This window comes from Homo sapiens, chromosome 13, assembly GCF_000001405.40.
Source record: "Homo sapiens chromosome 13, GRCh38.p14 Primary Assembly".
Taxonomy (NCBI): Eukaryota; Metazoa; Chordata; class Mammalia; order Primates; family Hominidae; genus Homo; species Homo sapiens.
This window is the reverse complement of record NC_000013.11, coordinates 113,774,327-113,798,693: the sequence shown is the minus strand read 5'-3', so window position 1 is coordinate 113,798,693 and position 24,367 is coordinate 113,774,327. Positions and strand designations below refer to the sequence as shown.

General features: G+C 51.9%; 1 protein-coding gene across 2 annotated transcripts in view, besides 2 other annotated features; it reads right to left on the bottom strand.

The window, feature by feature from the left end:
* The window catches only part of TMEM255B (transmembrane protein 255B), a 57,770-nt gene that overhangs the window by 18,302 nt on the left and 15,101 nt on the right, over nucleotides 1-24,367 (bottom strand). For both annotated transcript variants that reach the window (NM_182614.4, NM_001348663.2), the window contains exon 4: nucleotides 3,457-3,546. In NM_182614.4, the coding sequence (NP_872420.1) occupies nucleotides 3,457-3,546 (90 nt within the window). The remainder of the gene's footprint in view (nucleotides 1-3,456; nucleotides 3,547-24,367) is intronic.
* Nucleotides 9,446-9,974: an enhancer, noted in NCBI's record as "H3K27ac-H3K4me1 hESC enhancer chr13:114491693-114492221 (GRCh37/hg19 assembly coordinates)". NCBI's record gives its function as "activates a minimal SCP1, AML or CMV promoter by ChIP-STARR-seq in primed H9 embryonic stem cells {active_cell/tissue: H9 hESC(primed)}" and the evidence as "EXISTENCE:reporter gene assay evidence [ECO:0000049][PMID:30033119]".
* Nucleotides 9,975-10,504: an enhancer, noted in NCBI's record as "H3K27ac-H3K4me1 hESC enhancer chr13:114491163-114491692 (GRCh37/hg19 assembly coordinates)". NCBI's record gives its function as "activates a minimal SCP1, AML or CMV promoter by ChIP-STARR-seq in naive and primed H9 embryonic stem cells {active_cell/tissue: H9 hESC(naive and primed)}" and the evidence as "EXISTENCE:reporter gene assay evidence [ECO:0000049][PMID:30033119]".

Genomic DNA, 24,367 nt, shown 5'->3' with positions numbered 1-24,367 from the left:
CATCCATCCACCCATCATCCATCCATTATCCATCCTTCCATTCATCCACATCCATCCATCCACCCATCTGTCATCCATCCTTCCATCCATCCATCCATCATCCATTATCCCTCCTTCTATGTATCCATCCATCATCCATCCTTCTATCCATCCACATCCATCATCCATCCTTCCATTCATCCACATCCATCCATCCAACCATCATCCAACCATCCATCCATCATCCATCCATTATCCATCCTTCGATTCATCCACATCCACCCATCCATTCATCTGTCATCCATCCTTTTGTCCATCCATCATCCATCATCCATCCATTATCCATCCTTCTATTCATCCACATCCATCCATTCACCCATCTGTCATCCATACTTCCATCCTTCCATCTGTCCACCATCCATCCATCATCCGTTATCCATCCTCCTATCTATCCATCCATCATCCATCCTTCTATCCATCCACATCCATCACCCATCCTTCCATTCATCCACATCCATCCATCCATCCATCATCCATCCTTCTATCCATCCATCCATCATCCATACTTCCATTCATCCACATCCACCCATCCATCCATTCCTGTCATCCACCCATTATCCATCCTTCTATCCATCCATCCAACCATTCAGCCATACACCCATTTGTGGCCCTATCCAACTATCAATCCATCCGACCATCTGCAACATTCATGGAGCAGACACAGTGCCAAATGGTAAGGATAACGAGACACAGTTCTTGCCCTTAAGGGATTTATAGACTAGTGAAGAAGACAGACCCATAAACTGACCATTGCAAAGTGCTTATAATTGCTATGGTAGAGGACAGCAGGAAGTACCAAAACTAAAATGCCACAAAACTGCATCACCTGCAAATAAGCTAGGGTCACATTGCCCACGTTTAGTTTTATTAGTATTTCTCAAAGGCTCCTAGTTCTGAACCAAGAAAAGTATTAGAAACCACTAGTAACACTGCAACAGATGAGAATGAGAATCACTCATCGGTCCTTTGGGCCCCCACTGGTGAAGTACTATTATGGCCGGATGCGTTCTAGGTGACACAGCAATGGAGGAAGCAGACACAAGTCTCTGTCTCTGGGTGTTTATCTTCCCCTGAGGGGACAGACATGAGACCACAGGTAACAATGAGTAGCCCAAGGGGACAGAGGCTCCTTCCTGGAGAGAGGGCAGTGCACCCCAACCCCACGGACAGAGGCTCCTGCTGGGAGGGAGGGCGGTGTGCCGGAACCCCATGGGGACAGAGGCCTAGCAGCACGGTGTCCTCGGCCTCTCTCAACAGTTGGAAGGCACGCATCTCCCCATATGACGCCCTTAGAGCTGTAATTCACCATCTGTCTTCTTCCTCAGCAGCACACGAGGCAGTGCCACATTTTCCTCGATGGCATCTGAGCTCCAGTGAGTGCTGTCTGCGCATCCGTCCTAAAGTCAGCCCTGGGAGGCCCCGGCCAGGGGCCCTGCTTTGTTTCTAACCAAGAGGCTCCCACACTTGCCTAGATGCATGCCCCGCGTGGCCCTCCAGAATGGACAGGCGCCCGAGGTCCGGAACCTGGGGACACCCCCGACTGCGGTCAGAGACTGGACCCTGCTCCTCGGCGGGGCCACGGCCACGGGCGCCTGGAGCACAGTGGAAACCACCGTCTGGAAGCCATAGAATAGCAAGTCACCCAGCCACCCGCTGAGAAAGCTCCCATGACGCACCTCCGTGGGAGTGTGTGTGTGCGCGCGAGTGTGAGCATGTGGGCCGTGGTGTGTGCATGCGTGCGCACGCACGTGTGTTTTGTGAATGTGCTCCCACACTTGCCTTCATATAATGAAACCGTTGGGGCAGACAAAGGCCTAACACCAACCTTCAGTGCCTTTCAGTGTGATTTATGGAAAAAGAGGGAGAAACAATCACAGGTTTGGTCTGAGAGTTCATGACAAGCAATTCGGCTGCTCCCGGGGACCAGCTGACGCCCAGATGGCGAGAGCCCACCCAGGAGCCCAGCCAGGGAGGAGGGGGGATGGCGCAGCCCACCGGAGGCTGAGGACGCACCTCAGGAGGACACAGAAACGATTCCTTGGCCTGCGACTTTAGAGAAAACCTGTTCATTTAGAGGTGAAAAGAGCGTGGTGTGGTGTGTATGTGTGTGTGGTGTGTGCTCTGTGTGGTGTGTGTGCTGTGTGCTCTGTGTGGTGTGTGTAGTGTGTGTGGTGTGTGCTCTCTGTGGTGTGTGTGGTGTGTACTCTGTGTGGTGTGTGCTCTGTGTGGTGTGTGCTCTGTGTGGTGTGTGAGGTGTGTGCTCTGTGTGGTGTGAGGTGTGTACTCTGTGTGGTGTGAGGTGTGTACTCTGTGTGGTATGTGCTCTGTGTGGTGTGTGAGGTGTGTACTCTGTGTGGTGTGTGAGGCGTGTGCTCTGTGTGGTGTGTGAGGTGTGTACTCTGTGGTGTGTGCTATGTGCTCTGTTGTGTGTGTGCTGTGTGCTCTGTGTGTTGTGTGCTGTGTGCTCTGTGTGTTGTGTGGTGTGTGCTATGTGCTCTGTTGTGTGTGTGCTGTGTGCTCTGTGTGTTGTGTGCTGTGTGCTCTGTGTGTTGTGTGGTGTGTGCTGTGTGCTCTGTTGTGTGTGTGCTGTGTGCTCTGTGTGTTGTGTGCTGTGTGCTCTGTTATGGTGTGTGTGCTGTGTGCTCTGTGTGTTGTGTGCTGTGTGCTCTGTTGTGTGTGTGCTGTGTGCTCTGTTGTGTATGTGCTGTGTGCTCTGTGTGTTGTGTGGTGTGTGCTGTGTGCTGTGTTGTGTGTGTGCTGTGTGCTCTGTGTGTTGTGTGCTGTGTACTCTTATGGTGTGTGTGCTGTGTGCTCTGTGTGTTGTGTGGTGTGTGCTATGTGCTCTGTTTTGGTGTGTGTGCTGTGTGCTCTGTTGTGTGTGTGCTGTGTGCTCTGTTGTGTGTGTGCTGTGTGCTCTGTGTGTTGTGTGGTGTGTGCTATGTGCTCTGTTTTGGTGTGTGTGCTGTGTGCTCTGTGTGTTGTGTGCTGTGTGCTCTGTTGTGTGTGTGCTGTGTGCTCTGTGTGTTGTGTGGTGTGTGGTGTGTGCTGTGTGCTCTGTTGTGGTGTGTGTGCTGTGTGCTCTGTGTGTTGTGTGGTGTGTGCTGTGTTGTGTGTGTGCTGTGTGCTCTGTGTGTTGTGTGCTGTGTGCTCTGTTGTGGTGTGTGTGCTCTGTGCTCTGTTGTGGTGTGTGCTGTGTGCTCTGTGTGTTGTGTGGTGTGTGTAGTCTGTGTGGAGAGGGAAGTTCGTTGTGTAGGAAATGAGACTTACTGAGAGGAGAGACAGTCACTGGCAACCCCCAGCGTGGAGACTGACGGTGAAGCCGTCTGAGCTGAGATCTGCAAAATGAAATTGTACTTTTTTCACGTCGACTCTTTCAGCCCCGGAAAGCGACTGTGCACACAATGACAATGTACTCACAATGTGCTGTGCTGCAAATACGCCGTCCACGATGGCGCAGCAGAAGGCGGCCACCACGCCAAAACTGATAAACACGATCGCTGCCACCAGCTGCAACAGAAGGAGAGGTGTGGGTGCCCAGCTTTTACCAACCCCGGTTTTCAAACGCAAACCAATTCAAAGTCCCAGCTCGAGGTCGGGGCTTCTTTCACAGAACTGCCTCTTCTCACCTCTACCTTTCGTCCTATGACTTCCAGCCCTGGCCAGGCCGGACTCCACCCTGCGGGTCGTCCTCACGCGTCTATTCCGCAAGACCCACCCAGGCGCCTTCTGCACGGAAGGGCGTTGCCATCCCCGGGCCCTCGGCACGCGCCTCTGAGAAGCAACCCCAGACGGCAGGGCGTGTGCCCAACCCTAATGTGTGCTCATCACACGCACACACATGTGCATGCTTGACACAGGCCTTTACAGTCATCGGATCAGCTTCACACACTGTCGCACAACCTGCTTTTCCTACCTAATGGTCTTGGAGCTTGGAGCCAGGAATGGTTTATAGTGCGTTAGTTAACCAGTGCACTCTGATGGATAGTTAAACAGTTGGCAATTTCTTGCCACTACAAACTCTGCTATAAAGCGGGGTGTCCTGCCCTAACCCTAAAAACTAGCAGGGAGTCTCCATCCCCGTGGACCCCTGACCAGAGGGCGGGTGCTGTCATTCTTTTCTCGGTGCCTGGCTTGGTACCACGCTGGGCAGAGCAGACCCTCCTGAATGGCCGCTGAAAACTGTGGCCCCGAGTTGGCATCTCGCTTGGTTCCGTCCCGATGGATGAGTTGTCGGCTCGGGAAAGAGGTCCCAGTGACAAGCAGAACCCATCGGTAACAGCAGAGGGAGGGCCTGTGGCTCGGGCACATGGTGCTACACAGGGACAGGGGAAGCCTGAGTCTGTTCGGACCTGTCCTGCGCACCAGGCACGAGCGTGGGTGCTCGTCCAGACTCAGAGCAGAGCCGACCGAGCAGAGTGGTCTCCTCCTCACACTTGCAAAGACGCCCGGCAGAGGCACCCCGACCTTCCTTCTCCCTGGGGAGCCAAGTATGTGGAGAGAGGAGTTCCATCGACCGTGACCCTCACGTGGAACTGCTGTGGCCTCTTCCCCCGATGTCAGCATGGCCCTGTGTGTCCATCTCTGCCCCAGGCTGCACACCTATCGTCACCCGCAACCCAAAGAGAAGCCAAATCCAGCCCATCTGCCAAGGCTCTAACGCTACCCGCTGGATTCGCAGGTGGGACGCATTCCCATCAGGCCCCACAGCAGCAGAAGGCGGGGGGTGGGGGCTGGCGGGCCCAAACCTTTCAGGCCATGGACCAGTGGTGGCCGCCTGCCCCTCCCTCTCCTTCTGACCCTCCACACCACAGGCCCGCTGGGGGTCCTCCCTGGAAGCCCCATCAGAGCCGGTCCAGGGCGCACCACGCTGCTGGCCAAGCCCTTTTGCGGAGGAAAGTGCAGCTTCTTTTTTAAACAGTGGGCACCCTCACTGCGAGTCTGGGTGTTTTTATCCTTCAGCAGAGGAAGAGCTGTCAACTGGGGGCTTCCTGGTGAGCCCACGCTTGGCAGTCACCGATGCCACCTTGCATTAAATGTGAGTGATGAGGCGGTAGGGCTGGGGCAGCGGGCCGGAGAGCGAGTCCACAGAAGTCAGTGCGTCCTTGGGTGGGTCCCAGACCGGCACGGTCCCTGCGTGAGTCACAGAGAGATGGTTCTCCCACCTGCTGGCACCTTTCTTCTCAGGTGGGTCCCAGACCGGCACGGTCCCTGCGTGAGTTACAGAGAGATGGTTCTCCCACCTGCTGGCACCTTCTTCTAAGGCAACTTTCCTCCACAGCAGATCAGACGAGACATTCTGAGAGCTCAGACATCAAGCACGTGCCCTTCCAAAATACATACTTTAGGTTTACGAGAAGAGGTAGGTCTGAACAAAGTCCGGGCAGTTAGCAGGAAGCTGGCCGACACCCCTGAGCTCTGTCTCCCAGTGGCTGTGCGAGGGGGCAGAGGGGGACGTGGCCACCAGACCCAAGGGCAGCACAAGGGTTCTCGGGGTGGCCTTGGACCGGAGCCCTTACCCTCGCATCCCCCCTCCACCTCCCCAGGCAGAGCAGAGCAGAGCTGGCAAGCTGAGTCCTTCCAGAGCGTTCTCTGAACTGCTGGGCTGGACTTGCCCCTAGTGGTCCTTGGTTCCCCCTCTGGAAAGGGAGGTGCTGGGTTCACTGACTTATTCATGAGTGTCACGGACGCTCCAGCGTCCCCACGGGATACGCAGCCTGGTGCTGCAGGCGCAGACATGAGCAAAACAGGCACCTCCCCGCCCTTCCCGCGTCTCACGTTTCTGGCATTTTATCATCGATTGCCTAAAAGAAAGTTGAGATGCTCCCAGAAGAAAGCTGTGCAGAAAACCATGGCTGCATTAGCCTGGGTCTGAACCAAAAGCTTACTTCTATTTGGACTTTCTACAGGCTGTGGCAATTTAAAAATCTCCTCTTCTGCCTAATTGCTCTGGTTCGACTGACTAAATAATGACGGAGCCCATCGCATGGTGTAGCTGCCCAGTGTGCTGGAGGAACAGACAGATGAGGGAGGTTCCCTCTTGAACAGCTGACCCCGTCTGACGGCCACCATAGCAAAGCATAAGCCAGGGCTCTGGGTGCACACACAAGGAAGGCCTCATTGCACCCTGAGAAAGAAGGAAGGCCTGAACGAGTCCTGGAAGAATAAACAGAATTTCCTCAAGGGGAGACAGGGAAGGTGCTGGGGGCTGCACGTCGGTGGGACTGGGGCCCACTGAGGTGGGGCAGAGGCCACGATGTGCAGGGCTAGGGGTGAGCTGCAGCCACCATGTTACGGTCAGAAGGTCGTCAATGCCAAGGTTGTGTGGCCGAAGGCAAGAGACTTCCTTCACCTTCCTATTTTCCTGATGAAACTGCTGCATAAAAGTAAAATGACTATTATGCAGAGCTGTGTAAAAACAGCGGGCAGAAATTACACCTAACTGAAATTTCCTACATTCAGTTAGGTATAAATACGTAAAATACATTAAAAATGTAATTGTTTGAACAAATACATAAAAACACACACAGACGGCTCAGAGGGCAACATTTGAGGTTTCCCAGTCGGGGCCAAGCCCCTCCACCTTCCCAGAGGAAGATGAAAGCCGGCCTCCAGCGGGGCCGCGTCCCCAGCTCTGGGGCCTCCCGCAGTTCCGGGGGATGTTCCTGTCCCGCAGTGCACCCTTCTCGTGGGTGCCGGCCTGGATCAGGGGGCTGCGTGCCTCGCTCTAGCATTGCAGGGAGAGCGGCGTCACATCCCATCATGCCTGCAGACATGCTTCCAGCATTAGATGCAAGCACGCAGAGGGGCCGTGGTCCCGTCACCACTGCACACGCTCCTTAAGAACTCCCACAGTTTCTGTTGGGCACAATTCCCAACCAAAGAGGCAGAAGGAAAAAAGACTTAAAGATGAAGAAAATCACTTTAAAGCTTCCAAAGTTCTTTCGCTCGACCCATCCTTCTAATCCGCACAACTGTGACATCATCATCACAATTTGCATTTTGCAGGTGCGGCTCTAAGGACTTGGGGCTCTAAACATCTTTCGCTCAGACAGCGCCTCAGCTCAGGAGCACAAGCACCCCTTCCCTGCTCCTGGTTGAGTCACCACCCTCAGAGCCACTGGTGTCCCCAAGGGGACATCTGTCCACACGACGTCGCTCCCACAGATCCCTGAGGGGTGTGTGACCAGTGTGGTCCCCCAGATTCGTTGGGGCTGCCCAACGTTAGGAAGCCCACATCTGCCTAGTGGGAGCCGAAGCCATCCCAGGAGGATCCAGCGTCCCTGTCCGGCTCGGCGGCCGGCAGGTGCCACCCGCTAGATGCCCCGGCCACTTTCAGAAGTGGGTGGCAGGTGACTCATCCAGGCTCTGCTGGGTCTCTCACCGTAAATGCGTGCAGCAGAGACTCTGCCAGGATGTGCTGGCCCTAGATGTTCACCTTCCAACCCAGTAACCCCTCATGAATGCCATGGAGCCAGGAACCTGCTGCAACCCAGCCCTGGGCAGGACACAGGCCCAGACCGTTGAGAGGTGTTCATATTTCACCCCCACCCAATTTCACCCAAAACATCACAGAAGCACCGAATTGTTAGAGCATCCCTAAAAATTGCAGGGTCTACCTTCCATCACCCATGTTTCATAAACACATTCAAACTTGGTCATGCATAACACTTCCCACCCTGCGAACGTCCTCGCAGATGTCCCAGCTCTGCCTGGCTGTCCTTCCTCCCGCTCTTTCAGTGTGAAAGGTAAAATTCAGCGAGAGTGTGGCCACGCGCAGCAAGTTCAGTGCTAGGATGTCTACGTGTCCGGTCAGTCCAGAGCTAGGATATCCATGTGTCCAGTCAGTTCAATGCTAGGATGTCTACGTGTCCGGTCAGTCCAGAGCTAGGATGTCCATGTGTCTAGTCAGTTCAGTGCTAGGATGTCCACGTGTCCGGTCAGTCCACAGCTAGGATGTCCATGTGTCCAGTCAGTTCAGTGCTAGGATGTCCACGTGTCCGGTCAGTCCACAGCTAGGATATCCATGTGTCCAGTCAGTTCAGTGCTAGGATGTCTACGTGTCCGGTCAGTCCAGAGCTAGGATGTCCATGTGTCCAGTCAGTTCAGTGCTAGGATGTCCACGTGTCCGGTCAGTCCACAGCTAGGATGTCCATGTGTCCAGTCAGTTCAGTGCTAGGATGTCTACGTGTCCGGTCAGTCCACAGCTAGGATGTCCATGTGTCCAGTCAGTTCAGTGCTAGGATGTCCACGTGTCCGGTCAGTCCACAGCTAGGATGTCCATGTGTCCAGTCAGTTCAGTGCTAGGATGTCTATGTGTCCGGTCAGTCCACAGCTAGGATGTCCATGTGTCCAGTCAGTTCAGTGCTAGGATGTCCACGTGTCTGGTCAGTTCAGTGTTAGGATGCCCACGTGCCCGGTCAGTCCAGCGCTAGGATGTCCACATGCCCGGTCAGTTCAGTGTTAGGATGTCCACGTGTCTGGTCAGTTCAGTGTTAGGATGTCCATGTGCCCGGTCAGTCCAGCACTAGGATGTCCATGTGCCCGGTCAGTCCAGCACTAGGATGTCCATGTGCCCAGTGAATCCAGCACTAGGATGTCCACGTGCCCAGTCAGTCCAGCGCTAGGATGTTCAGGTGCCCAGTCAGTCCAGTGCTAGGATGTCCACGTGCCCAGTCAGTCCAGCGCTAGGATGTCCACATGCCCGGTCAGTTCAGTGTTAGGATGTCCACGTGCCTGTTCAGTTCAGCACTAGGACATCCACGTACATGGTCAGTCCAGTGCTAGGATGTTCACGTGCCCAGTCAGTCCAGGGCTAGGATGTCCATGTACACGGTCAGTTCAGCATTAGGATGTCTATGTACACGGTCAGTCCAGGGCTAGGATGTCCACATGCCCGGTCAGTCCAGGGCTAGGATGTCCATGTACATGGTCAGTTCAGTGTTAGGATGTCCATGTGCCTGGTCAGTCAGCACTAGGACAGCCAGAAACATGAAAATGCCAAGAGCTTCTCATGGTGCTTCAACCCGAGTCCAGGCAGTGGTGTTGGGAAAGACATTGGGAATGGCCTCCTCCAGCTCCTCTGGCTAAGTCCGAAAGTCATTGCCAGAACCAGCCTCACGAGAGCTGCCTCAGGGAACAGCCCACATCCCCCTGGACTGCCTGGCTCTGTCACGACTTTTCTCCAGGCATTGTTAACTCTTGTTCAGATAAATTTTTTGTGACCTAGAACGTGCATAGCAGGAACCAGATCAATTCTCCAAAGACACAAGCAACCCACTCTCCATAGCCCATGAGGACTGCGCATGTCTACGGCCACTGCCAGGAGAAACTCTGTCCCTGCACTGGAGCCACAAGGATCTGGACTGAAGGCTGTGAAGATCTCATTGCATTCTGTTGGGGCATCTTCTCTTGAGCAAAGGTCACCTTCAAATGCCTCTGCTCTCAGAGTTTACATTCCAACAGAAGAAAGTAGATTTACAAAAAAAAAAAAACCACACTGAGCATAAGGTCATGGTGATCAGAGGAAAAGAAGGAAGGGGATAAGGTGGGGAGGGAGAGTGGCCCGGGTGCAGCTACCTCAAGAGGGCGGCTGGGTCTCTGTGGTCTGGGACATTCGAGCAGAGACTCAACAAGGTGGAGACCCTGCCCAGGCCACCCAGCAGCACCTGCAAAGGCCCCACAGCATGGCATGTGGGTCTAAGGAGCACCAGGGCAGTCGGTCGGTGGCCTCCACGAGGCAGGATGAGTGGGGCAGGAGGGAGGGAGGGAGGCGCGGCGCGGCCCCCGGGTGCAGTGGTCAGTGGGAGGGGAGCCAGCTTCCCTGGGGTTTCCCAGAACTCTGGCTGGGGTGAGGGCAGCGGCAGGGCCCAGGCAGGAGGTGACGGCGATGGTGAGGGCCAGAAGCGCGAGTGGAGTACACAGGTCGAGTGTGCAGAGACAAACGGGTGGAGGGCGGCCACACGGTGACACCGTGCTGATGACGGCACAGAGCCAGGGCCCGGATGGGCAAGAGCAGCCACTTCCATCTCACAGGTCTGTTATCACCCACACGATGACGGCTAAGATGGCTGTGTACGCCATAAATCCAGCACTAGGATGGCCACGTGTGGCAGGAGGAGACACAGGGAGCCACCAGCCGAGGGCAGAGAGGAGCCTCTGCTGCGCCAGTGCCAGGCCACGCAGGCAGTGCAACCCCTGAGCCCCCACCCAGGCCAGCAGCTCCACCTGCGAGAGGCACCTGATGCAGCCTCTGCTGCCCATCCCCACCCCCTCCGCCTTCCCCTCTGCCCATCCCCACCCCCTCCGCCTTCCCCTCTGCCCATCCCCACCCCCTCCGCCTTCCCCTCTGCCCATCCCCACCCCCTCCGCCTTCCCCTCTGCCCATCCCCACCCCCTCCGCCTTCCCCTCTGCCCATCCCCACCCCCTCCGCCTTCCCCTCTGCCCATCCCCACCCCCTCCGCCTTCCCCTCTGCCCATCCCCACCCCCTCCGCCTTCCCCTCTGCCCATCCCCACCCCCTCCGCCTTCCCCTCTGCCCATCCCCACCCCCTCCGCCTTCCCCTCTGCCCATCCCCACCCCCTCCGCCTTCCCCTCTGCCCATCCCCACTCCCTCCGCCTTCCCCTCTGCGGCATGGTGCCCCTGGCCGACACCTGGAGCTGCCCATCCCGTCTTAACCACAGATGTCTTCTCAACACCTCCTCCCCGTCCATGCCCTCTCCTCCGCCTCGCTTCCTTTAGAGTAAACCTCCTGGAGAGAGTGGACGGCACCTGCAGCTGGTTCCTCCTTCCTGGGTCACCAAGCCCAAATCTGCCCCTCCCAAGGTCACCATGCCCTGCCTGCCATCAATCCAGGGGTCACCCTCAGCCCCAGCTGACGCGATTCACCATGAGCATTTGACACATTCACGGCTCTCACACTCCCCTCCCCACTGCTTTCCCAGGCACAACCTAATTCACTTCACAAGCAGGTCCCTGCTCACAGTTCTAAGCCATGTACAATTTCAGCTCATTAACAATTTCCTCTCCAGCTTCCCTTCTTCACGTCTGACCTGCACACCTGCCATGCGGGTGTCCCAGAACCACAAAACTCAGGGGCTCCCCACATGGTCGCCACTGTCTACACCCTACACTCGCACCATCCACACCCTCCAAAGACCCTGAACTTTGACCTGCTCATTTCACCTATCATCGGTTTCTGTGAGCAAACGGAGAAGAGAAGCCGCACCACTCAGGTCAGCAACAGGCAGCCTCTGTCCTTTTAAGCCTTCCCCACACACTGAAGAAATTCTTAGAACGTTTAAAAACTGTTTTCCAACTTAAACCAATCAGGCATTATTTTAGTCTAGAATACATGTTTTTCAAATGCTAATAAATAAGTGATAAAGGAGAGCAACCAAATTAAAATCCAGACCGTTGGCTCTGGGAGATGCCCAATGTAGCTCTTCCGAAAACACCCCTGCGCGTGCACGTGGCTGACTGTGGAGCTAGCAGGTTTGCACAAGGCCTACTGTAAGTTTTCTCTATTAGAGACAAAATTTTAAAATTATTTAATTATGACATATTTTCACATGTTCTGTTCATTAAAGTGTCAGAGTCCAGGTATGAAACAACGAACAACTAGAACCTCTCAGAAGTGCCTTACGGGGCCCATTGCCAGGAGTAATGTGGTCTCCTGTGTGAAGGCATGCCCCATGCATGTCACATGTGTAACTAGTGAGCCTGGAACAGGGCTCACTCCTCCTCAAAAACCAAGACGTGGCCTCCTTCTCAGTGAATGAGAGGCCACTACAGATGATCTCCAACGCCACCAGCCCAGACCGAGAAATGAGAAATCCATCGTAATGGTTTCTTCTGATGACTCGTCTGCAATCCCTTTTCCTGCCTGCTCTCTGACGTGGATGCCAGGGAGGAAATTCACTCCCCAGCAGAGAGGAAGCAGCTGCTGCTAGTGACGACAGTGATGACGGTGATGGTGATGACAGTGATGATGGTGATGAGGGTAACGACAGTGATGATGGTGATGATGGTGACAACAGTGACGACGGTGATGGTGACAACAGTGATGATGGTGATGATGATGGTGATGACGGTGATGATGTTGACGATGGTGACAATGGTGATGACAGTGGTGACAATGGTGATGATGGTGATGGTGATGATGGTGACAACAGTGATGGTGATGACACTGATGATGGTGATGGTGATGACAACAGTGATGATGGTGACGAGGGTGATGACAGTGATGACAGTGGGGATGGTGACGATGGTGACGGTGATGACAGTGAAGACGGTAATTACAGTGACGACAGTGATGGTGATGGGGATGGTGATGACAGTGGGGAAGGTGACAATGGCAATGACAGCGAGGATGGTGACAATGGTGATGACAGTGATGACAGGATGGTGATGATGGCAATGACAGTGATGACAGTAGGGATGGTGACGATGGTGACAATGGTGACAGCGGGGATAGTAAAGACTGTGATGACAGTGGGGATGGTGATGATGGTGGCCCATGGTTCTCTGGCTAGAATCCCGAAGTCCAGAGCCCTCACGGTTTGATGCTTGAATTCATTTTACAGCAAAGCATGCCCTGGTCTGAAGAAGTCCATGCACAGCCTGCATTTACCCCACGTTGTGTGAATGTTCGTGTGCTTTGCTTTGGAAACACGAAGTGGGAGACTGCCTCAGACTCCACTGGAGGAATCAAACGGTCTGGCCCATCCCCACGTTCCCTCCTAAAATCCAAAACACTCCGAGAAGCATCTGGCTCCGGGAGTGTCCGAGAAGACACAGGGATGTGTGAGTACGTCAAGCCACTATCCCAGGTGTTTTTCCTGCCTCTCCTGAGCCCCTGAGGGCAACCCTATCATCCCTTCATCGAGAAGAGGACAGGGAGGCCTGGGGACGTCCAGCACCCACAGTCACGTCCAGAGTGGGGTCTCCAAGCCCAGCGGCAACCGTTCCTACTTCTGACCCTGACCAATGACCTAAGGGTTTCAAAACCAGGGAAAGCTCATGTTGGGGAGACTGAATTTCTAAATTTCTGCTGACTTAGAAGTTTCTTTAATTGAACTTTTCAGCTTTCCAGCCTCTCTCCTCCGGTGGGTCTATTTCTCTGTCAGTGGTCTAAGACCTCTCTTTGCTCATGCATTTGCTAAAGACAACAGCAAGAGAGGTAGGACGAGGAGCAAACATGAGACCCTAGTGCCAGCTGAGTCAGAAACCGCAGCTGGGGGTGAGGGAAGCCCGCAAGCCTCCCTCTCTGCCCTGCAGTGTTTTGCCTGGAGGGCAACCTCTGTCATGGTATTAGAAGTGCAGGTGGAAATCAGAAGGCAAAGCCAGTGCCTGCGTGCAGGGCAGTGAACTTCAGGAAATGACTCTCAGCCTGGGCACTTTGCCAGTGACAGAGCAGGGGCATCACCATCTTGGACAAACACTGCCATTTTAAGTTCCCTTTGACTAAAAACTGCCTAAATCCAGCCCCAGAAACATCAACTTACTGACTAATGTCAGCATGACCATAAACCACAAATGACACCTCCGACCAGAAACATTCCAACCCTGCAATAAAACTCTCCTCCACCCAGAAACATTCTGCTCCTGCAATAAGCTCCCCGCTTCATAAACCCTTAAATACCCTTATATAAGAGAGAACACTCCTGACCTAAATTCACCAGAAGCCCCTCTCAGGTTTATTCTCCAAAATAAACCTCTCTTTGATGGTTGAGCCACTTTTCATGTTTCTTTCCTCTTTAACTCTTACATTTGGTGCCGAAACCTAGGACAGGTGTTGGGGCCAGAGGCTCTCTTGCAACCCAGGAAGCCGTGGGCAGTGGCAGCTCGTCCCAGGCTAATTCCTAGATCCTGAGGGCCTCTAGCCACCTGCCTTGTCTTTTCTCTCACTTTACTTTCTGAGCAATTTGCATAAGGAGGACAACTGACCCGAAGGGAACTGTGAGGCTTGGGCCGGGGCTACTCCCCAGTGGGCTCTCAAAATCCTCAGGTCTCAGAAATCCACCTCCAACCGCTCACAATGGGCATTTCACTCTCTAACCCTTCTCTCCTTCTCCTCCTTCTCCTCCTCCCTTCTCCTCCTTCTTCTTCTTCTTCTTCCTCTTCATATCCTTCTCTCTCTCTCTCTCTGTCTTCCTCACGTGGCTCCAGTCTGGGAGGCGCTTTGCCAATTCCAACTGGAACATCCAACACCAGACACAAATCCAGCTGACTGGTAAGATCTGCCCTCCCCTGGCTTTCTCATGGTACCCAGGAAAGTCAGATCTGCCGTCCTGGTCCTCAGAGGACCAGTGGGATTAAGCTGGGGAAAATCTTGGGAACTCCCAGTCTCTTCTCAGGTTAATTGTCCTCTTTATAAACAGGAATCTGGGTCTCTGTCTTTCTTCTGGAGACACCTAGAACAAAAACAGACACCCTCGGCCTCCTCTTACCAGCTCACATGGGTGCCCAACAATCCCACATCCCTACACCCTCCCCGCTCGGCTGTCTCCTTCACAACCTCACCAAACTTGGCTTACAGGGGAGCCTAAAGCCAAAGCGTTTAGTTTTTTATGGTAACACGGCCTGGCCCAATTCAAACTAGATAACGACAGCCAATGGCCCAAAAACAGCATCTTTGACTTTCAAATTCTCAGGGACCTTGACAACTTTATAACCAGGAGCAGCAAATGACAAGAGGTTCCCTATATTCAGGCCTGCCTATGTCATGCTTGCACCCCTCATGAAATCCTTCTTCTTAAAGAAAACCCTCCCCAGGTCTTCCCTTCCTCCGAAATCCCTTCCTCCGAAACCCCTTCTGACCCTGCAGATGAACCCCCTCTGTACTCTCAACCCTCTGCATCTGCTCCTCACCCGACCAAACCCTCCACCCTGTTGGCCCCTCCTACCCCCAAGCCTTTAGCCCCAAACCTCACCCATCCTCCTTCTCCACCAGTCACCCATTCAGAAACTACCCCAGCCAGTCAAGCCACCTCTGCCATTCTCCCTCTCCAGGAAGTAGCTGGGGTTGAAGGCACTGCTTGCGTTCATGGCCCTTTCTCCACGTCTGATTTTCTCCACGTCTGACTTGTCACAGATCCAACAGCACCTGGAATCTTTCTCTGAAAATCCCTCTCATTATCACAGGGAATTCCTGCACATAGCCCAATCCTTTACTTTAACTTGGCATGACATTGACATAATTCTAACTCCACCCTCACTCCTGATGAAAAGGAGCATATGGCATTCAGCTGAGGCCGACGCAGATAAACTCCATAATCAAACCCTGATATAAAACCCAGTGGCTAACGATGCAGGCCCCGTAGAGATCCAGATTGGACTTACCAACAGGGAGACACTGGCTTCAGGCAAAGAAACCACGTGATCACCTGTCCCCTCGCAGGCATGGACAAAAATGCCCATAAGGCAGTTAATTATGAAAAACTCAGAGAAATTACATAAGAGCCCCAGGAAAATCCTGCCCTTTTCTTACCACACCTCACTGAAGCGATGCTAAAATATACCAATTTGGACCCAGAATCTAGAGAAGGTCAAACTTTTCTCCCCCTCCAATTTGTTTCCCAATCCACCAAGATATCCAGAAAAAATTATAAAAATTAGAGGAGGGTCCCCAGACATCTCAGTGGGACCTCCTAAATGCAGCCTTCCATGTCTTTAACAACACAAACGAGGAACAAAGAATTCAAAAAGACAAACATCTCCATATAAATACCAGATGCTCACCTCTGCTGTCCAAAAGTCAGCTCCACAAAAAGCCTCCTGATAACCCGAAAGAAAAGTCCCCCACCTCTGGGAGTCTGTTTCTGATGTGGCAACGCTGGACACTGGGCAAAAGCTTGTCCTAAACCCCTGCCCCCACCAAACTGTGCCCAACCTGTGGTCTCTGGGGACACTGGAAAATGGACGGCTCCCAACAGGGACACCTTCCCCGTTCAGGTGGGGCTCATAATGAAGCCCCCCCCTCCGACCATCACAGGAGGAAATCTCATCGCTGCCGGCACTGACAACGGAGGACTGAGGGTGCCCGGATCCTGCGCCCCCATGTCCAGTGAGTCCACGGAACCCAGGGTAACTGGGACGGTATCCGGTAGGCCAGAAGCAAGATGGAGTCAGTTCAGACCGTTTTCACTGTCTCAGTCATAATTGTGCAATGGCAGTTTCATAACTTTAAATGATTACCACAGTTTTCATAAATGATCTAGGCAAGTGATTAAAATAATTAGATAAATGTAATGGGACAAATATTTGTAAACAAACTTGTCATCATTTGGAATCTAAAGTTATATTAAATTAAACTACAGCTATTTCATTATTTAGGTTTTTCCAATAAAAATATATTGTAGGAAAGCATTCTTTCTAAAACTTGTATCCTTTTTAAAGGTTAAATAATTTGTGTCTAATTCAAAGCTTATTTAAAGGTTTTATATAAAACAAGGTAAAAGAAACCAGGAAATAAGAGAGATATAAAGAAAGTTACAAAACTAAAAAGTTGTAAAGACTGTTGCTAAAATAAAAATATCTTCAAAAATGTAAACAGTTGGTCTAAATTATGCAGGTCAAATATTAGGTTTATTAAATGCTTTTAGATCATAAACTGGTTCTTTGACTTAAAAATTGTTCAATTTATTTTGGAGTGTTAAATTCTAGATAAGGCCTGGGGATATAAGAAATTAGCCATGCCCCCTAGCTATGCAAAAAGGTATTAAAGAAAAGAATATTTATATAAGAAAGGATCTTGTATGATAAATTTTTGTCCTGAAGTAAAATAACTGGTTGTTTGAAGACAGGGATGTTTAGGACAAGTCAGAAAGTCAAGGCATGTGGTAGCTTGTCTGCGTAGTCATAAAAGAATTTATACAAGGGAATTTATGCAAGAAATGATGTAGAATTTAAAGGTGATTAGGCCTCCTAAATGCTTTATAAAATGCCACTATGACTCTTAGCTGTACAACTTGCCTGCTTTATATCTAGGTAAGGCCTGGGACACACGGAGTTTGATGCTGGAATGAATCAGACCTTGTGTGCACTTCTGTCTAAGTCCCAGGCTTCACACCTAGTACATCATTTAAAATCCCAAACGTACCAAGGTCTTCACCAAAAGTGAAGGTTGCTAAGAGTTAACAGTGTTACATGTATTTAAGACTATTGAAGAAACAGTTTACATGCAAGGTGTGTAAGGAAAGCAAAATATACTTTTGGTAAAAAGATTATAAGGAGGCACGGGAATGTGAATTTTTGCCTAGATTAAAAGGTTAAAGGGTTGTTTTAAGTTGGATAAAATAAAAATGAAGGTTTAAGCAAGTTGTGAATGGTTGATTGTAAAGGAAATTCTATTTGTAAACATATTGGCTAAAGTTAAAGGGGTATCCTCCAGTTTTTCTGCAAATTAAGCATTAAAATAAAAGCACAATGGGTTTCTCTTAGAGCACTAGCCTGCTCTTTAACAAAAATTGTAAAGAGTTATAAAAGGTCTATAAAAATCTTACCTTATGATCAAACATTAAAATTGGGTAAATATGTCTATAAAGTTTTATTAAGAATTGGGTTTAACATTAATAGTACACTAATGTAAAGGTGAAATTCGGCTTATTTGGTATAAAAATTATACAGGAAGCATTGCCAAATATGCAATGGTGTTTGGCTTTCTTTGGGCTGTGTTTGTATAAATATGTTATTGGTATGTGTTCCAAAGTTATGGGAGACTTCTATAATTCTGATATATTTTAGTGTACATTATCAGTAATAATTATCATTGTTATGTTAAAATTATTGTGTGCCACAAGGTAACAGATTTCCTTGTCAATTGTGTCTTTAACTATGGCTACCCTAAAACATTTTGTCATCCATAGGCAATTGTTGTCTTGTTTTGGTCCTGTTTAGAAGGTGGTTTCATAATCAGCTATAAAGTTTTACCAGGTGCTCTTCAATACAGGTTTCTGATAACTTTGAAGACTGTGACATCAGAATAGAGGAAAAATGTTCAGGACTCTTGAAGAGCTAAAATGTTCATTAATATCAGGCAGGACAGGAATTAACTACATGAACTGAACCAATAGGAGACTGGAGTGATCATTTTGACATTTTGCTTAAAATGTTGCTAATCCTTTGTTTTGCTTTTCAGAGTCAAGGAAACGTCTTGCGAGCTATTGACAGCTTTTAACAATTTAGTATACTCCCATGAGCAAAATTTGGAGCTTATTTGTTCCTCTCTACCTGATTTTCTCCAGAATTTGGAAAGTATTTGTGACTATTCTTAAGTTATGGCAATATAGTGATTTGCATAAGTGCAATAAGAATCTGTTTTCTTTTGTAACAGGACACAATTGGAGAAACTGGTTATTTTACCAAGACTTTGGTTGGAATGATGTGCTTTCCTTTAAGGAATCAAACTTGACTTATGAAGCCAAGAAAGGCCTTGGAAACTGGCCTCCTATTCTGTGTACACAGTCCCTGCACAGGGGTTCTGATCTGGGGTAAGTAAAGAATGTCACTTTCTGACAGGCCAGGAACCTCAACAGGAGAGGAATTCACCCAACTCATAGGTATTTAATGGTACAATTCCATGGCTGGGCTCAGCTTTAAAAAGTCTTATCTCAGATTCCTTCTATAAAACAAAGTTCCATCAAAGACAATTTAAAAGGCCTATGTGAAAAATAATTATTCTTGCTGCACTGTATACAAATAATTAAGCCAAGTATAATAAAGTAAACCAGTCCTACCATGTGTCTTTTAATAAAAATGGAAAACTGGAGAGAGAAAATTGTTTCAAAAACTATAGCACACCTGTTGTTAAAATTCCAGTCTTGTCTGATGTTTTTCAATTGTTATTATTTTCTACAGTTTAGATTAAATTCTAATTTTTCTGGCTACGAGTCTCCAAAATAATGTTTTCAATTTTTCCTTTTTCCCCACTTTTCTAACTGGAAATCACTGAAACCTAAGCTGTGCTTTCTTAAAGCCCCATAAGCTGAAGACGAGATGTATCAGCAGACGCTCCCTCTACGCCCCCAAACAGAGAGCGCTTCCAGGAACAAACCCACCTCTTCCACTCCTAGATGTATCAGCAGATGCTCCCTCTATGGCCCCAAAACAGAGAGCACTTCCGGGAACAAATCCACCTCTTCCACCCCTAGATGTATCAGCAGACGCTCCCTCTACGCCCCCAAAACAGAGAGTGCTTCCGGGAACAAATCCACCTCTTCCACTCCTAGATGTATCAGCAGATGCTGCCTCTAAGCCCCCAAAAGTCCAGTGCTGCATTCAGTGCCCCGTAAGGACCACTCTCTCTCAGCAGGAAGTAGCCAGAAAGAACACATCACCCCTCGTCCTTTTCAACTACAGGGTCTGGATTGACAGAGCAAGAACATCGCCATCTTGGACAAACACCACCATTTTAAGTTCCCCTTGATTAAAAACCCCCAAAATCCAGCCGCAAAACATCAACCTAATGTCTAATATCAGCGTGACCATAAACCACAAATGACACCTTTGACCAGAAACATGCCGACCCCAAGATAAACTCCCCTCTGACCTGAAACCTTCCAACCCTGCCATAAAACTCCCTCCACCCAAAAACACTCTGAACCTGCGACAAGCTCCCCTTCCTAAATCCTTAAATACCTTTAGTCTGTAAGAGAGAACACTCCAGACCTAAATCGGCCCGAAGCCCCTCTAGGGTTTATTCTCCAACATAAACCTGTTTTTGACTATTGAGCTGCTTTTCATGTTTCTTCTTTCTTCAACTCTTACAGCCAGTGGCCAGGAGTGAGCATTTCTGGGTGTTTCTCTACGGGTCAGTTTCTCTATGGGTCAGTGGAGGCCCTGCCCAGGCTAGAAAAAGATCAACAAAAACCTAATGTCAGGTTAGTGAGGCAGTTGAGTGAAATCCGGACTCACCCAGAAGATGCCACAGTACCACAGGTGATCATCGTCATATCATTACAGCAGGTGAAATCGAGACTCACCCAGGAGAAGACGCCACAGTACCACAGGTGATCATCGTCATATCATTACAGCAGGTGAAATCGAGACTCACCCGGGAGAAGACGCCACAGTACCACAGGTGATCATCGTCATATCATTACAGCAGGTGAAATCGAGACTCACCCGGGAGAAGACGCCACAGTACCACAGGTGATCATCGTCATATCATTACAGCAGATGAAATCGGGACTCACCCGGGAGAAGATGCCACAGTACCACAGGTGATCATCGTCATATCATTACAGCAGGTGAAATCGGGACTCACCCGGGAGAAGACGCCATGGCACCACAGGTGATCATCATCACATCGTTACAGCAGCTGATACCATTGCTTGTCGCAGACCCAGCTACACCACAGGTTCAGACTCTCATCTTGCTGGGAGATGACATATTGAAGCTAAAGATCCCCTTTCCCTCCCTCACATCTCCACCCCTGTCCAAAATCACGTGATTCCTGTTCGGCCGGCTTTTTATACTGCAGGGTTCTGCCAGACAGGAACACGCCTGTCCTGCACCGATCCTGCTGGAGGGCAGCTTGTTCCGAGCCTTCCTCTACAGGAATGCATCCCATCCACGTCTCCTGACAAGCTCAGGACTAGTCTTGTGCTGTCCACCCCCTCAGGCCCTCCACCCTGGCACAGGCAGCTGTGGGCTCCTCTCTGTGACCCTGGCCAGCCCTGACCGGTCCACAGTCGTCCAGGAAACCCCCAGAGACCACGCAGCACTGCCCAGCACCACCTGGATTGGTTATTGTTAGCAATGGCTTCAGGTGGTGAATGACAGGGTCAGCCAAGGAGGAGGCACTCAGGGGGAGGCAGAGCTGCAGCACCCACCCAGGAAGGCTCTGTCTGAGGCCGCCCAGGCTGCACAGGGCAAAGGCAGTGGCAGGAAGCGCCGCCCTCGCTCCCCCCATGACCTAGGGAGACGGCTCATCCCCCTCCTTAGGACAAGGGACCTGGTGCGGGGACCCTGGGGATTCCCTTCCCAAGACCATCCTCCTTTGAGCAAAGCCTGGTGGACCCGGGCGGGAGCTGTTCTAGGTGCTGAAGCACGTGCATCCCACACACCGCAGTCCCTGCCTTCTGGGCTGAGTCTAGAGTCAGCACAGCGCTGGGGGAGCTGCCCCCAGAGACACAGCCGGGGCCACCGCGCCTCCCCTCGGCCCCACAGCAGTCTGGGGTGCACAGTCAGCGGGTAGAGCTGGCAGCCTCCGCCACTGTCCAGCCCTGTACTGGGAACGGGCAGGCACTCCACCAGGCTTGACAGGCACTGTTGGCCCCGCCCAGGTCACATAGCTGGCAAGAGGCTGGGTCTGGGTTCAAATCCAGGTGTGCTGGGTGTAAAGAGAGGCAGAGAGATAGAGAGGGAGACAGAGACAGAGAGATAGAGGAGAGGGAGACAGAGCTAGAGGGAGACAGAGATCCCCAAAGTGCACCACATCTTCTAACAGATGCCGAGGCTCCGGTGACATGTAACTCCCTGCGGAGTGGCCACAGAAACAGATCTGGCTGTGGCTTTCCATGAGAAATTCCAGGGCCCTGTCCAAAAATATGCAGATATTTGGACACAGCCAGAAAATGAGTTGGATTTTCCAAACAAGCAGATGTGGATGCAGCTTCTGTGGCAGCAAAAATAGAAATTCCAGGTGTTGGTTTCAGACAGGGCACTTTACAAGCAGACAGCCCAAGCACCTGTGACCCTAGGCGAAGCTCTACCTCGTAACCAATGCATCCATAGGCGTTGGCTCCTGGGACCTGTGGGTGGGCGTCAGGGATGCTCAGCATGGGGTGTAGCTCTGCTGCAGAACGAGGAGGAGCTTTTCCTGCTCACCAGGGCGTCAGCACCACCAGCTCACGCATCAGGATGGGAGACAACCAAGGGAAAACCAAGGTAGGAACAGGTCGCCTGCGCCCACTGTGTCGGGAAGCTCCAGGTCAGCGACCCCTCTGAGTGTCACACTCGGCCCCACGTGTCCGGGAGGCTGCACCCCAGCCCCTGCTAACCAGGCGTGCCCAGGGAGGCAAGGCTGCTCAGACAGCAGAAAAAAACAGGCGTCCTGAGGCGAGGGCCTGCTAGGCCCCCACTGTGGCCGTGGGACGGAGCCAGCAGCTCTGAGGTGGGGTCACGTGCACAGCTCACAGCTCGGACAGCAGCAGGTGGGGATCCGGCTCCAGCCTGTCTGGGCTGGACGTAGCTGTCGGGAGGACGACAGGAAGCAGGTGCCGCCCGCAGAAGAGAGGTGCGTTTAAGAAACCAGAGCCGCCGAGTCAGCCCCTGAGTGGCAGGTGCACGATCCCACAGGCCTCCAAGCTCAGGGGCCTAAAACCTGGGACTTGGTTGATTTTCCTGTAACTAGACCTAGTTTCCGTGGCAGATGCCCAGGCAGCCAGAAAAGAAGGCAGGGCGGGCGGCCCCCAAGTCGCTCCACTCACCCACCCTTGTGCCAGTGCCCACCCTTCTCCCAAAATTAACCCAAGTCTGGAGGGTTCAGGTGGCAGCATCTTTGAGCAGAGAGTGGGGGACGGGACAGGGTCCTCTTTGAACTTCACCCCATCCCCTGCAGGTGTGGCCTGAGGCGTTTGCATGGAGGAGGTGTGGACTGGTGTCCTGGGCAGGTCCCACCACGGTCCAGGAGGGGCGGCCCGGAAGACTCAGCTTCAGCTCACAGGCCGCACATGGCTGCACACAGAGACCTGCCGATGCCACAGGCCACGTGCACCTGGAAAAGTCTGACTCAAGCCACCTGTGGGGCCGCAGGGGTCCCATGGTCCCTGGGCGGGGATGTGGGGCCACCGGCCTGAGAAACACCCCCCAGTGCCTGACAGGCACGGAGAGCTGGGGCCTCATCAGGGCCACAGGAGCTTCAGGGAAAGAGGCCTCGGTGGTGAGGCTGTGGGCCCGGCAGGACCAACCCCGAGCTGGGTGCCCAGCGAGTGTGGCCGCCTGTGCCCATGCTCCGCCTGTGCTCCACTCCCTCAGTTATTCCCCCGCTGTGGGTGAGGTCGTGGGATCCAGGGTTGGATGGCAAGTGGATGGGGCCCACTCAACGCCTGTCCTCCAGAACACCCGGCCCTTGTGGGACCTACTCGGGGCCGTGGGGCCTTGGCACGGGCTCTTGCCCTGGGCAGCTCACAGTGTCCTCACCGGTGACCCGCAGAGCCGCCCAACACTGCCATCCAGGGATCCCAGAAACCACTCTCCACCAGCCCCACCCAAAGGGGCGGAGACCCTCACAGCTTCCACAGGAGAAGGTGCGGGGCCCGACGCCCCAGGAAGGCTGATGGGGCTCCCACGACAGCGAGGCCCTGAGCAGAAGCTAAGCAGGGCGCAAGGAAGGCGGCCGAGACCTCACCCTCCAGCACTTAGAGGAATGGAGAAAACGGGCTCAGTCCAGACCAAAGACTTCTGTGTGTGGTGTGTATAGTATGTGTGGTGTGTGTGGTGTTGTAGTATGTGTGGTGTGTGGTTTGTGTAGTGTATGTGGTGTGCATTGTGTAGTGTGTGTGTCATATATGTGGTGTGTGTAGTGTATTGTGTGGAGTGTGTGTTGTGTGCTGTGTGTGGTGTATGTGGTGTGTGTGGAGTGTGTGGTGTGTGGTGTGTTGTGTGTGCAATGTGTGTCATGTGTGGTGTGTGTTGTGTATTGTGTGGAGTGTGTGGTGTGTGGTGTGTGTGATGTGCATTGTGTGGTGTGTGTCGTGTGTTGTGTGCAGTGTGTGTGGTGTGAGTAGTGTATTGTGTGGAGTGTGTGTTGTATATTGTGTCTTGTGTGTGGTGTGCGTTGTGTGGTGTATGTGGTGTGCATTGTGTGTTGTGTGTGTCGTGTGTGTTGTAGGTGGTGTGTGTAGTGTATTGTGTGGAGCGTGTATTGTGTATTGTGTGTTGTGTGTGGTGTGTGGTGTGTGTAGTGTGTGTGGTGTCGTGTGTGTAGTGTATGTGGTGTGTATTGTGTGGTGTGTGTGTCATGTGTGGTGTGTGTGTCATATGTGTGGTGTGTGTTGTGTATAGTGTGTGTGGTGTGTGGTATATGTGGTGTGTATTGTGTGGTGTGTGTCATTTGTGTGTTGTGTGGTGTGTGTGTCATGTGTGTTGTGTGTGTGTGGTGTGTGGCATGCATGTGTTTTGTACTGTGTGGAGTGTGTCGTGTGTGTCTGTGCATGTGCACATACGTGGGGCACAGGAGAATTGCCAGTTAACACTGTTTTATGCCCTTCCCTTTCCCATCCCTGTGGGACCTATGGGACTGTGCCAGGTTACAGAGCTCTTCCTGAAATAAATGATTCATATGTCTGTTTGGGTGAGGAGGAAACAGTAACTCATTCAGCAGT